General features: G+C 45.8%; 1 protein-coding gene across 48 annotated transcripts in view; it reads right to left on the bottom strand.

Moving 5' to 3' along the window:
• BMAL1 (basic helix-loop-helix ARNT like 1) overlaps positions 1–14305 on the bottom strand; it is a 110615-nt gene that overhangs the window by 4794 nt on the left and 91516 nt on the right. For 15 of the 48 annotated variants that reach the window (NR_147787.2, XM_017017739.3, NM_001351812.2 and 12 more), the window contains 7 exons: positions 12706–12855; positions 10064–10310; positions 8272–8378; positions 6711–6861; positions 5745–5833; positions 4028–4136; positions 1219–1312 (listed from right to left, as the gene is read on the bottom strand). Coding sequence is in view for 41 of the 48 variants with exons in the window: in XM_017017739.3 (XP_016873228.1) it covers positions 1219–1312; positions 4028–4136; positions 5745–5833; positions 6711–6861; positions 8272–8378; positions 10064–10310; positions 12706–12855 (947 nt within the window). In the remaining 7 variants the exon portion in view is untranslated. Of the gene's footprint in view, positions 1–1218; positions 1313–4027; positions 4152–5744; positions 5929–6710; positions 6862–8271; positions 8379–10063; positions 10311–12705; positions 12856–14305 lie in introns of those variants that run through there. The other 33 variants (XM_017017738.3, XM_047426953.1, XM_047426952.1 and 30 more) reach the window with 9 other exon arrangements.

Raw genomic sequence — 14305 nt, 5'->3', positions numbered from 1 at the left:
TCAGTGGTATTTTGGGCCAAGCACTTTCACATATATTATCTCACAGTAGGACCTCGTGCAAAGATGCTGGCTACCCTAACCATTATTAGCTCCATTATAAAGAAAACTAGGGCTTGAAAGTTGTACAAGTTCACATAACTAGCACATGGCAAGGCCAAGCTTCGAACCCAGGTCTTACTTTGTAGTCTTACCCATTAATTTGTTAACTTTCAACCTTTTTTGGGGGGAGCAAAACGCTTTTTCAAATAGAAATGTTTGCAGAAGATTCCTGTATAAAAAAGAAGTATTGCTGCCCTTGTAGAAGCAGGATTTCTACTCTTACCCTCTCTCCTTAGCAACTATCCCCACGCCCATCCCACCTGGTAACACCACAGCTCTTGGTAACCTGAACAAACCTCCGAGGAGCTCAGTTTTGAAAATCCTTGCCCTGCTTTTGATGGTTTGTGCCCTAGGAGTCCTGCCTATGGAAATTCCTGATATTCTCTCTCTCTGTTTTAGGAGATGGGGAAAGGAAGCCATTGTGTCCAAAATGATGGCCTTTAAACTGTCCTAAGCTCTACTGGCATCAGGCAATATAAACAGATTTATAATTTACGATTAAGATGGGCCTAGGCTTATAAGTTCTCCAGCAAAGATGAAAACAAATGACTGGTTCCTAAACCTATTTATAGTGTAGTCTTATAGCAAGCTCTTCATGAGGGCTGGTGATTGATCCACTGCTTGGATCCAATGCTGTCACACCAATGGAACCCCCAGGCAGCAGATCCCCAAGTATTCTGCAGCTATAAAGCATGGCTTGATTTCCAAAGCACTGCTGGTGGCATTGCTGTTTCCATTGCCTGCCCTAGACACTAATATTTTCTCCCTTGAAAATTCCTGGCAGAAAATGAGAAACTTTTCTATGTGAGGTACTCAATAATCTTTCCCTCATGGGAACTCTTGAATTGCTCCCTCAATTAAATGAACTGACAGTTCCCCATTCCTTATTCTTTCTCCCTTCTTCCACTCACATGGAAGAAAGCCTCTGAGGATGTCAGCAAGCCTCCCTAGCCCTACCAGTATGCTTTGTATCCAGCCTCACACAGATGCATTTACTTCAAGGAGGAAGTAGTCCAAATTGTTTCAGCAATCGCAGTTGCAATTCCATACTCCCACCCCCAACATTTCAGATCTTGGGCAAGAGGTTCTCTAGCTTAGGCTAAGAATCATCAGTCTTACCTTCTTGCCTCCTGGAGAAGAGGCATCAGGGGGAGGCGTACTCGTGATGTTCAATGGGCTGGAGCCACAGCTAGAAGGCGATGACCCTCTTATCCTGTCAGAAAAGAGAATTACACTGCCTTTTCTTTTTTCAGTGGAGTGTATGTGCTTTGTTAAGGGGTAAAGGTGAGAAAGGGGATGAAGATCTAGATTAGGGTTTGGCAAGCTTTTTCTGTAAGGGGCCAGATAGTAGGCTCTCTAGGCCATATGGTGTCTTGTCACAAATGCTCAACTCTGCCTCTGCAGCTTGAAAGCAGCCACAGATACGAATCGGTGTGGCTGTGTTCCAATAAAACTTTATTTACAAAAACAGATGACAAGCTGGATTTGTTCTACAGGCACCTGATCTAGAATGCAGTCCCTAGAGTCAAGCATCTCACTGACAAAGCCCTTGGATTGGAGTTTGCATTCAGTTGGTGAATTTCAAGTAAGTGGCCAGTTTTATTTCCTCACAGAATCCAGGTGAATTGGAGGAGAACTTCTAAGATCAACCTCCATCTTTGATCCACAGAAAACAATTTGTCCCCTTCTCCACAAACACTGTTTAGCTAGTGAATACTCTTAGGACATGGACGGCACCAGGGTCTAAAAGGTAGCCTAGTAGTAGTGACAGGAAAAGCAGCCTTCGAAGGCAGTGGTTGATGAAAAATGGGTCCAGGCCTTTCTTATCTAGCATATCTCTCAGAAGATTTATAGAAGGGAAGACTTAGAACTGTAAATCCACCTAAATACTTGTCAGGCTGAAGGACCTCAGGAAAGAATCCATCACTTGGCATTGCAGCTACAGTTTAGGGAGAGTGTGATGGCAGTTGTGTAACCACAGGACTCTCAGCTCCTACATGGATGAATGTAGCTTTTGGGTGACCCAGAGACCACTCCTCCACCACCCAGAAGTCTTTTGGTTCTTGTACTGCCTAGTTCTCTAGATTTATGAGTGAACAAGTTTTCTTTCTGGATTAGAAGCTTCTTAACGGCAGTTTACAACTACATATCATGTATTCTCAGCATGCACAAACGGCTGCTAATTGCTTACGGAAAAATTGCTGAGTGTCCCCCACCTTTCTCTACTTATGTCTATGAAACCACTATTTTCCCAGGTTTCTCATCTTGGAATTGCTGTTTCATCATTCCTGATTTCATCTTCAAACGCTAGACCTTAGATGATTGATTTCTCTTTTGGCAGTGTCATCTCTGTAGGATAAGGCCTCATTCCTGAGTTGTCAAACATGCCCACCTTCATCTCTCCCTATTCCAATGCAACTTCCACAAAGCGTAACACAAGACTTTGGATGCTTGTTCAGCATCCTACAACAAATGGGGTCTTACAGGTTTCTTCCAAACTGCACAGTATCATTTCTTGTGTTTCTTAATCGCCTATCATAGCTCTGTGTCTCCTTCCTACACAAAGCCTGCCCAGTTAGGTAGCTTGTTTCTTGACCCTGAATTTGCCACTCACATGCCCACTCAAGAATAGCCCTGGCTTTTCTAGAGGGAACATCCACTCTTATTGCAAACCCTGGCTAAGGCCAAGTTCAAATCTTTCCTCTTTTGCTTGCTTTGGCCCATGCACCCTCCCTTTTTCCTGTTATCATAAAGAAAATAGACTTATAAAAGATTTTAAAATTCTTGAGGTCAAGGACTGTTTGATACTGTTCTTGGATGGTCTCAAGCAAAATACAGGGTATGCAAATGCAAAGTATAGGGTTTGAACCTGATTACACTGCACACTACCCTCATGTCTCCTTCCTGATGCAGAAGTCACACCCACTAATCCTGTGGGGTTGGAAAAGAGCTGTGTTACCTATAGGGGGATAACAGCCCCTTTATGGCCAATTGGAAAACAGGCCAGCCTCTAATTCTCCTGAGAGAATCCAGCGGCAGCAGTGTTTTCTTCCTTTTCTTATGTTACATTAAGTTTCGTTCTGAAGAATCTGGTTACCACCTTCTCTATTCCCCAAATTTGGACAGACTTATGATAACTGCTTCCCTCTCGACTGCTCTTAAAGACAGATTTAATTAATTTTTAAGCACTCACTATATGTCAGGCTGTGTTCCTGGAACTTTCCTGAGTGCCCTCACAATCCTAACACAATTCTTGGGAAATAGTGCTTTCTTTTTATGGTTTAAATCAACAGAGAGCAAGAGGTTAAGTAAGTCTCAGCATAGCCAGGTAGAGAGACAGGCCCAGGACTCAGACCCAGGTGGACTGCTTCTAAGCTCCTTCTCTTTCATATGGAAAGGAAGTCTCTCCCAAGACAGCTAGTAATAACTAGCTGATCTGCTTGGTTTCTAGTACTAATCCTGGGCAGCTCTTTGATTGAAAAAAAGTGAATGTTTTGTTAAGGTCCAGATCACTCTGATAGTTCACAGCTCTACTCCTGCATTCCTGTAAAGTAAAGGTACATCTATCCGCACTGAGAAGCTCCTTGAGCCATAAGAAAGTTAAGTCTTCTCAAGAATTCTCTTTAGCGCTGGGCTATTTTGGTTTAGCTTCTTTATTTAAGGCAGGATTTCTTAATCTAGGCACTACTAACATTTTGGATTGGATAATTCTTTGTTGGGTGGGGAGGAGGGAACTGTCCTGTTTACTGTAGGATGTTTAACAAGCAGCATCCCTGGTCTCTATCCACAGGATGTTTAAGTAGCAACCTCCCACCCAGTTGTGAAGACCAAAAATGTCTCCTGACATTGCAAAATATTGCCTGGGGGAAAAAATTTCCCTGGGTTGAGAACCACTGGTTTAACAGAGGAACTAGAAGGTGTTACTTGCCTGTGGATTTCCATGATTTCCTCAGCAATCATTCGGCCTATTTTTCCTGCCCCAGCCCGGGTTCCCCCTGGAATCCCTGGAACAGTGGGGTGGGTCCTCTTTGGGCCACCTACAACAAAGGAATCTGAGAGTAGGAAAGGGGAAAACTGAGGAAGAAATACTATTATGTATTAAAGTAAAACCAGTTTATCCCATGATCCATTTGCAGTTCAACATCAGAGTTGTGCCTTGAGGGACTTTAGGGCTACAGCTTGTCAGGAAAAGGCATTCCAGCAGGGAAAGGCTCAAGTTTCCTTCTAGGATCTGAGGCCAGTTTTTTCCCTTCATACAGCATCTAATTCTTTCCCTTCATGCACTGAAAAAAAACGTTTATTGAAGACCACTGTATGTGCCAGGGTTACAGAGACAAGTCCCTGCCCTCAAGGAGCTCACAGTTTAACAGGAAAACCAACAAGATGAACAATGGCTAAAGCAAAATGTTGTAAGTTTGACAGGCAAGCACGAGGCAACCAACTCATCTGGGGCCAGGTGCAGCTTCTGGAGCAAGTTAACCCCGAGCTGAGTCTTGAGAGATGAATATGAATTAGCTTGGCAGAGAGGTAAGGAGGAGAAAGCATTCCAGGCACAGCAACCAACACGTGCAGGAGCACTGAGGCAGGTTAAAACTTGGGAGACTCCTCCAAGGAATTCATCATAAATGATGATGAGAGCATGATAGATGAAACTGGGGCAGCAGGTACCAATCCGATCATGAGGGGCCTCTTGGATGCCGTACTAACGAATTTGGACAGTTTCCACAAGGGAATGAGGAGTACCAAAGGACGATACACAGAAAAGGCACAAATGAGAACTGGGTTATTAGAAAGTCCACGGCAGGGAGAATGAACTACAATGGAGGATGGGGTGGGGAGAGGGGGACTAGAGTTGCGAAGTGATTTGCAATAATCCAGGCAGCAGATGAGGAGGGTGAAATAGCAATAGTGGTGACGAAGTTTAAGAGATAGAAGGTTCAGGACTCCGTGTTTAGATATAATGGGGGAGAGACAACAGCCAGGTTTCTGGCTTAAACAACCAATCAGGTAGGGGAGTGCAGAAAATCAGCTTGGGATATTCTGAATTTCAGGTGCCTCTGAGACTCCAGGTGGTTCTGTCTATGAGGCATTTGGAGAGACAGATCTGGAGCTCGGGAGAGAGACTGGGCCAGGAGATGTGGATGTGGGAGTCATCGATGGGGGCTGCAGCCATGCATGTGGGGATGGTCCCAGGAAGGATGAGTCCAGCGTGGACAGCAGGGGCAGGGCCAAGGCTGAGCCTGAGAAGGGAGCCCAGTGGGTATGGTACACACCCTGGTGCCGAAAGACACCTGCCTGCCAACCACAGGAGTTAGTGACAGTCACGAAAGAGCACTTCACATCATGGCCACTAGCCAACACAGGAGGAAAGCACAAGGGGAGTAGGGAGTTTGCGAGCTCAAGGGCTTCCAGGGGCCAGCAGCTTTGGGAAGTGCAGCAGTGAGCTCCTAGTATTCCGGCTCAACAGAGAAAGTGACATGACAGTGTCCTCTGCATTCATGGGGAAATCCGCACATCATCCCCTCGAGGCCTCCCTTGTTCCACAGAATATGAATGGAGGGGACCCTGAATACTTTAGGGGAGGATATTTGACCACAAGCACCTTCCCACGGGCAAGCCCCAGGGCCCCAGCAGCACATAGTTACCTTCTCCAGAGGGCAGCATGCTGTCCATGCTGTGGGGGGATGCTGTGAGCTGTGGGAAGGTTGGGTCCCCGCCTTCCAGGACGTTGGCTCTGTGAACATCCCAGCAATAAGGAAACGTGAGTCAGGCCTGCTCAGAACTGTGCACCATTCAACTTGGCCAAGGTGTCCGGTGTCCACTCTGGACCTGGACAGGCCAGAAAATGAAGTGTCTGTCTGAGTGGGTAAACAGGTCTCACTGTTTGATAATATAATGGATAGCATCCTGGCCTTTGGCCCCACTGCCTGCCTAGGCCTTCCTAATATGTGTGGGACACAGTTCAGCAGAGGTGGTGGCTGCAGTAACCTACTGCCATCATTACAGCACCTCCTCCTGCCAGCCTGCAGTGCACCTAGCCCCGGCCCCTCACACAGCTCTTACCATAGGTGGGGTTTTGGACACTATGGGGAAGGAAAAGTGGGGAGCAGGCCTGGCCAAAGAGAGGCTCCTTCACCTCCCTCTGCTCATCTAGCAGGTAGCAGCCTTTTGAGATGGCATTCCAGCTGCCAGTGCTTGGGCCCCCTGCCTGACAGGTATGGAGACCTCCCCATCCTCAGCCAAGGCCAGTGTGAGCTAGTGCCTGAATGAGCCTTTCATAGATTGCCAACCCCTTCCTCCACAGCAGCACAAGTGGATGCCTAGGGTGCAGGGCCTGTGGAATTCAAAGGTTAGCTGCTTTATCTGGAAGGAAATGTTGCTATTTCCTGGAGCAGTTTCATAAGCCAGGGCCTGCATGGTACAAGTCCTGAAGCTTGTCCCTTTGTTAACAATCCTTTCTAGCTTCTGCCAGTCCTGAGGCTTCACAGGTATTAGCAAGATGGCATTAAAGGATGTGATACTGGATGTTGCCTGCACCCCATTTCCCAGATGAGGAACCCTAGGCATCTGTTTGAAGCAAGGGGAGCTTCAGATATAGGAAAAGTACTTACAAAACAACAGTGTTAGTTGAGACAATATATTCTACTTCCTTGGTCCAAGGGTTCATGAAACTGAACCATCGACTCCGTAGTGTGATAAAAGAACCATCTTTGATTTTAAATTTATAGCAATTAGTTGTAATTTTTTCTCTCGTCTGTAAAACTGAAAATGTAAAGAAAACATGGACATTGTTGTTTTCTCAGACCAAAGTATTAAACAGGACATCCAATACAAAATATTAAAGGTACTTGAGCTCCAACGACATCGCTCTTTAGTAAGCCAAGGAAACTGCAGTGGTCAACACTCAGGAAATAGGTTGTTTCTGAGGGTCTAACTCAGAGCCTTTCAATTCATTTGTGAAGCTGTCATGATTTTCCATAGTCTGTAAAATTGAGGCTCTAGGGAATTACTGACTGCATGTTATACATCTAACTGGAATCAGCTCTAACATGACCACCAGCAAATGAGAAGGCACTGTCCAAAATGTCATGCTTTATCTCAATCACAAAGCCCAAGGGCAATATAGAACTTATCTCATTTCTAAGAACATCCAAATCAACAGAGGCTACTCACCTATTCAACCTCATTCTTTCATGTAACATGTAATGAGCCCTTCTCATGTGCCAGGCACTGGAGATACAAGAGGAGACAGGCTATGACTCCTGCCCTCAAGAAGAGTAGTGAGGGAAGGCTATACAGGGAGAAGAGATCAGAGCCTTGAGGGATGAACACGAGTTTGCCAAGAGAAGGAGGGAGGGAAGAACCCAGCAGTGCCTGAGGAGCAGCAGGGTCTGGTTGGGGAGAGGCCAGTGAGGTCAGTGTGCCTGGAGCACAGGCCTCTGCAGGCAGGGATGGGGACTGAAACTGAGGAGGTGGGCTGGGGCCAGAAGGTGGAAGGTCTCACATTTGATTGCCTGTCAAAAGCATTTGGGCTTGAGTCTAAAGCAGGAGGTTTTTAAGCAGGCTGATGTTACCAGGCTCAATCTATCTGGGGATAAATAGGATAACTATGGAAGATGAACTGGGGGTGAGAGGGATCAGAGAAACCCTGAGAAGTCTATCACAGGTCTCTAAGTAGGCACGAGGGCCTGAACCAGGGTGATGGCAGAGGTGGTAAAAAGTAGACTTTTGGAAATGCATGTCTGAGGTGAATGAACAGGATCTGGTGGAGACACAGTGAAAGAAGGGGTCAATGTTGGTCTCTCTCAGGAGCCTGCACATGAAGCCACAGCATTAGTCAAGACAGAAAACACAGGAGGTAGTGCAGGCTTGAATGGAAAAGAGAATCAGATCAGTCTGGGCCATACTAAATCTTTACAGGGTCTGGGAAAACCCTCTGAACAAGAGATGTCTTTCAGAAACTGCCATGCAGTCAGCACAGGGCAACTACAAGGGGGATAAACAGTGCCTGCAGGTATCAGCTTCCTCTTCACACAGATGTTCTGACCTGAAGAGTCCTAGGCTGGCTGACTCTACATCCTCAGTGGACAGATTTCCCTGGAAGGTCATGTTGACTAGTCTAGAAGCAAGGGGACACTTTCAACTTAAGATCTTTCATACATCCTAGCTTACCTTGCCTATGACATTCTGCAAGATGTCCTATGTCATCTTGGTGAAAATATTCATAACACGATGTGCCTAGAAGTTCTTGTGGTAAATATGCCAAAATAGCTGTTGCCCTAAAAGGGAATAAAGGAATATTTAAAGAAGAAAAAGCCATTCAGATGATTAATTGCAACTTTGCAATGGATAAACCCTGCTACAGCCTATGAGAGCAAGGTCAAAGCTGCAGGCAAAAGAGCTGGATGGATTTTCAGAGGGCTCACTGTGTGGATCTTTCTCTCTTTTTTTCAGGCATCTGAATTTAATCAAGGCTATAAAAATAGAGGGAAACAGAGCAAAGCCTTTGTAAAGGGACTATTATCACAAGAAATCAAATCTGAGGGGGCTTTAAAAATTGCAACCAGTCGGGCATGGTGGTTCATGCCTGTCATCCCAGCACTTTGGGAGGCCGAGTTGGGCAGATTGTCTGAGCTCAGGAATTCAAGATTAGCTTGGGCAACATGGTGAAACCCTGTCTTTACCAAAAACACAGAACAATGAGCTGGGTATGGTGGCACATGCCTATGGTCACAGCTACCTGGGAGGCTGAGGTGGGAGGACTGCTTGAGCCCGGGAGGTCAAGGCTACAGTAAGCCAAGATCTCGCCACTGCACTAGATCTAGCCTGGGTGACAGACTGAGATCTGTCTTTAAAAAAGGAACCACATTAATTAGATTAAAATGTGGTATAAATCTAAACCTCAGTGCAAGGCTTCTAGTTTTTGCTGCCTCCTTTTTATCAGGACAACCAAATGCCAGAAGCTGCAGCAGCTGAGGCCACAAGACAGCTGAGGCTGTCTCTTTTTCCAGCATGTTGTGGCTGTCTCTAGTAGCCAGAAAAATTATTAGCCTGTGCATATTCTGAGGGAAAGCAGTAGGCAGCAGTAAATTTGGGACACCTGGGTCCTTGGTCCAGGTCTATTACCAATTAATTGTGAATCCTACAGGAGACCAGTCCCCAGGCTGGCCTCTGTTCTTCATCCATAAAATAAGGAGGTTGGATTAGATCAACGCTGTCCAACAAGACTTTCTGTGATGATGGAAATGTTCTATGTCTGTGCCGTTAGCCACATGGGAGGCTACCATGGCCAACGAGTATTTTATTGGACAGCTCAGGACTAAATAATTGCTTCCAAGTCCTAGATTCAAAAGAATTTCAATCACAATAATGGTTCTGGAACATTCCATAGATTCAGACAGCATGCTATCCCTACTGTTTTTCTTTTAGCCATGGACATCAAGGCACCCCACTTAATTGTCTCTATATGCCAAAGAATGACAGAAAAATCTCTGTATTTATGATGATATCCTATTGAATCTCATTTTTTAACAGAGACTCTCATCATTTGTCTCTTTTTTTTTGAAACAGGGTCTCACTCTGTTGCCCAGGCGGAAGTGCAGTGGTGCAATCACAGCTCACTGCAGCCTTGACCTCCCGAGGCTCAGCTGATCCTCCTGCTTCAGCCTCCAGAGTAGATGGGACTACAGGTATGTGTCACCATGCCTGGCTAATTTTTGTATTTTTAGTTGAGACAGGGTTTTGCCACGTTGCCCAGGCTAGTCTCAAACTCCTGGGCTCAAGTGATCCACCCACCTTGGCCTCAAAAAGTGCTGGGATTTGAGGTGTGAGCCACTGCACCCAGCTTTTTCTTTCTTTCTTCATTCTTAGAAAAGCCAGCTGATGGCCCAGTCTTCTCTGCTTTTTAGATCAGGGTTGAAAATCCTCTACCATCATTGCTCAAGGGTAGTATGTAGACTCTTACCTCTGGTCTACAAAAACAAACTTTCCATCTATCGCGTGCCGAGAAACATATTCCATAGATTTCACCCTGATTTCCCCGTTCACTGGTTGTGGAACTACATGAGAATGCAGTCGTCCAATTGCGACGAGGCAGCTGAGGTTACACCCCTCATTGTCTGGTTCGTTGTCTTCATCCAGCCCCATCTTTGTGGGTGGCCAGCTTTTCAAATAGCCTGTGCTGTGGATTGTGCAGAAGCTTTTTCGATCTGCTAGAAAGCAAAGTTCGTGGTTAGTGTCAGCACTAGGTTTGGGCCATGGAGGTGTACACGGCCGATGGTGGGATGGGATGTAGGTAGGGAGTCAAAAAATAAAAAAAAATCAAGGCTTCACTCTCCAGAAGTAAGCATCTAATGAAAGGGGCAGACGGAAAGAGAAACAAACTGTCATCCAGTGTCAGAATGCTTAAGTAGGGCCAGTTATACCATGGACATTCATTACATACACCAAGGAAGGAATATCTAACTCTTCCTAGGGAGAGGAAGGCTCCCCCAAAAAACCAGTAGAGGAGGTGGATCAAGAAGGATGAGCAGTGGCTGAGGGACTAGAATGTATAAAGGCTGATGACGTACACAGGCACAGAGGCACAGCCTATATAGGAACTGGCCAAGAGCTCTGTGTGGTTGAAGTGAAATTGGAGGTACTGGGAGTGAGGGGCAAATTGGAAAGGCAGGTTGGAGGAAGATTAAAAGGGCCTTGGATTACTTTCTAACCAATGTTGGTCTGTCTTTTTAAGGCAGGAAATGGAGAGCATCTACAGGTATTTAAGTGCAGAAACAGCAAAATCAAATTGTGGTTTGGATGCTGTAGGAGCAGAGTGACGTATGAACTGGAAGACAGTAGAAAACAGAAGTAGGAAGGCTGATTCAGGGGCCAGTGGCTATAATACAGCAAGAGATTAGGAGGACTGAACTATGGCAGTGCAGTGAAGATGAGAGGGAGCAGAGAAAGAAAGCAGGAGAAATTTCTGAGATCAAACTGTTGGGATTTGCTGTGAATATCAGGCTTAAGGGAAAGAAACAAATGAAGATGACTCTAACTTTTCTGGATTGGGTGGTTGCTGGTGTCATTCACTGACTCAGAGAAGAAAGAAAACAGACTAGAAGAGAGAGAGAGAAAAAAGATAGTTCGATTTGGGACACATTAAATGTGGAGCACCTATAGACTTCACCAACAAGCAAACCACTATGGAGTGTCTGCCAAGCGTGGAGTCTGTGCTGGTTACTGGAATAGAGTGAAAAACAAATCAGACATGCCCTTGTGGAGTTTACAGCCTAGTGGGGGAGACAGACTTTAAACAAATAATCGCACAAATAACTATATAACAGCAAGTATAAGAAAGCACTAGAAAGCAAACCAGTAGGGTGCTATAAGACATAAGGCAGTCTGAGGTTGGAGAGAGCCATGTGAAGGGAGTTCATGGGGAGAGGGAAGAAATTCCAACCAGGAAGCGACAGCATGTGCAGAAGCATTGCCCAGAAGGGGCTTGAGGCATCAAAGGAAGTCAACATGGCTCACATGTGCTTAGTGGCAGGGTCGGGGGCTGCATGGTCACGTTAAATATTTTGAGCTTTTCTTCAAGAACAATAGGGAACACTGAAGGGTTTTTAAAAGGGGACTGATAAAAAGATCATCCTGGCTGCTGTGTTGGGGGTGGGGAGCATGTGGGTCTACACTTTATGAGACCTGGTGAGAGTTGGGGGCAGCCTGGAGCTGAGTGAAAGTAGGCAGCATGGAAAGGGACAAACATTTCAGAGAACTTTTGCAGATGGGACTCATTGTGGCAGGACTTCATAACTAACGGGATTGAAGAGTGGGGTGGTGAAGCAGAAGTGAGGGCACCTCCCCGGCTTCTAGCATGAGCAGCCAGCTGAATGGCAGTGCCATTTATGCTGGAGGAGAGGCTCAGGTGATTACTTCGGCACGTATCCTGTTGGAGACTCCCCTGAGATATCCAAAGCAGGTTGATTTAGTAAGCAGTATATTTATGAATCTGGAGTTCAAAAGACAAGTCTAGGCTGGAAATATGAATGTGGAAGTTGTTGGCATTTAAAGCTGAGGGAGTAGATGACATGACCAACAGAGAGAGACTGCAGACAGAGATGCAGCCCAGGACAGAGAGGGGCAGCCAGCAAAGGGGCCAGCAAGAGAGCCTGTAGCAGCAGGGGGTCGGGGAGGAGGAAGAAGAATGTGGTTTCATGGAATCCAGGAGAAGAGAACACTTCAAGAAGGAAGACAAAGGAAAAATGTTCATCGCATTTAACAACATCAAGGTCACTGGTGAGCTCAGAGTAATTTTGGTGGACTGGTGGCTGTTCATAAGGCAGTTAGGATTGTGGCTGAGAGTATTCTTCCTCAATCATGTTAAAAGAAACACAATTTAAACAGAGGAGGCCTCTCCACAAATCTCTGCCATCAGGCTTTTCAGCTCTCTCCTCTGCTCCCAACTGCCCTACACATAGGGAGGACTGCAGGGTCCTGTCTGCAGTCCTGGGACCTGCCACTCTGGCCAGCCAGAAACCATGGAACCAACGCCCAGCTGAGAGCTCCGCTGCAGAAAGCATGCTTCACCTGTCACAGGGTTTTAATGGACTGTTAAATTGTTACCTTTTTTCTTTGAGCAGGTAGAGGGGAAGTCCTTGTCTTCAACCTTTACTGAAGGCCTGTTACACTTCATCCTACAGAAGAAAGAACGTCGTGCTCCAGAACATAATCGAGATGGCCCAGGGGTTATATCTGTTTTAACTGGAAGTCCAGCTGCAAATCAATACACAAAATGTGATAAACTGAGAGCAGTGTTGTCTGTCAGGAGGGGGAGTGTGACCTTGAGCAAAGCCTTTTCTTGCCTGCCTCACTGTTTTATAATGATGACATGAGATAAATATCTCCCAAGTTTAGGCTTTAACAGATGCAGCATGGACAGGTGTGTTGTCAGTCTGGAAATGTTTATAAATCACAGAGTGTGCTACTAAATAAATGGATTAGGTACTCTGGGGATGAAAAGAAATATAGTATGGGGTTCTTGCCCAATAGACGCTTATGGCTAACAAAGGGCAAATGGAGGTGCACCAAGAAAAGATTAATAATAGGACAGGGTGATGTATGATTAGTGCCAAATAAATGGCAAAGACAACCTGTGCTTCCCAGAGGAGAAGGAACTTGGGCTGGCACTGAAGGATGGGTAGGATATGGATATTGGGAAGGCAAGGTGGGAGCCGGACTGCCTTAAGTTCTCAACCTGGCTTGTAGGCCAGAATACCCTGGATGCATGATCAACCTACAGATTCCTGGACCCCATTCTAGATCTGTGCTGTCCAATGCATTAGCCACTAGCTGCATGCAGGTACTGAGCACTTGAAATGTGGCTTTTCTGAATTGAAATGTGCTGTAAGTGTTAAATACACACAGGATTTCAAAGACAGTATAGAAAAATAAAAGAATGTGAACGAACTTATTAGTTGTTTATAATTATTACATGCTGAAATATTTTGGAGTTAATTTTACATTTATTTTTATTTTTTAAAGTCTGGCTACCAGAAAATATGAAATTATATATGTGGCTCATGTTTGTGGTTTGCATTATGTTTTTATTGGACTGTGCTGTCTGGAAAAACCAAATTAGAATCTCTGGGGGTGGAGCATGACTATGTTGAAAAGCTCCCAGGTGATTCTGAGGAGCACACCTCCTTACCAAACACTGGCTAGGTGTCAGTACAGAAGCCGAGGGAAAACACACCCATGGCCATCACACGAGCAAGTGTGCCGAGGAATGGCCACTGCCCAGGGCTCCTTCTGGGCTTCCTCCCATCCCATCTACCTCCCACATTGCCAGCTCTGCGATCTCCCCTAGAATGCCAATCCGAGCCTGCCCCACCCAACTCAGAGCTCTTCACTGTGTCCCCACAGAACAAATGGTCTTCATGGTTCAGCCCTTCCCCTCCGTGCACGTTTTGTCCAATAGCACCAAGCAAGCCATGTGGCTCCACACCCCTGCACCTGTGCACAGATTGTTTCCTCTTTGTTCCTCCCTTCATTACCTGGCAAACATTAATTCATCTTTTCAAACCCACCTCGGTTGTCATCTACTCAGTGATGCCTGTCCTTGCGCCCACATGAGAATTAATCATCCGTTCTCTATGCCTGGCACTATTTCTATGGCTGTACCTATTACTATGCAGGGTGCTGTCTGTCTCATTTCTCTGACTAT

Source organism: Homo sapiens, chromosome 11, assembly GCF_000001405.40.
Source record: "Homo sapiens chromosome 11, GRCh38.p14 Primary Assembly".
In the NCBI taxonomy this organism is placed as follows: domain Eukaryota; kingdom Metazoa; phylum Chordata; class Mammalia; order Primates; family Hominidae; genus Homo; species Homo sapiens.
Note: the sequence above shows the minus strand (reverse complement) of the source record. Positions and strands in the feature narration are given on the sequence as shown.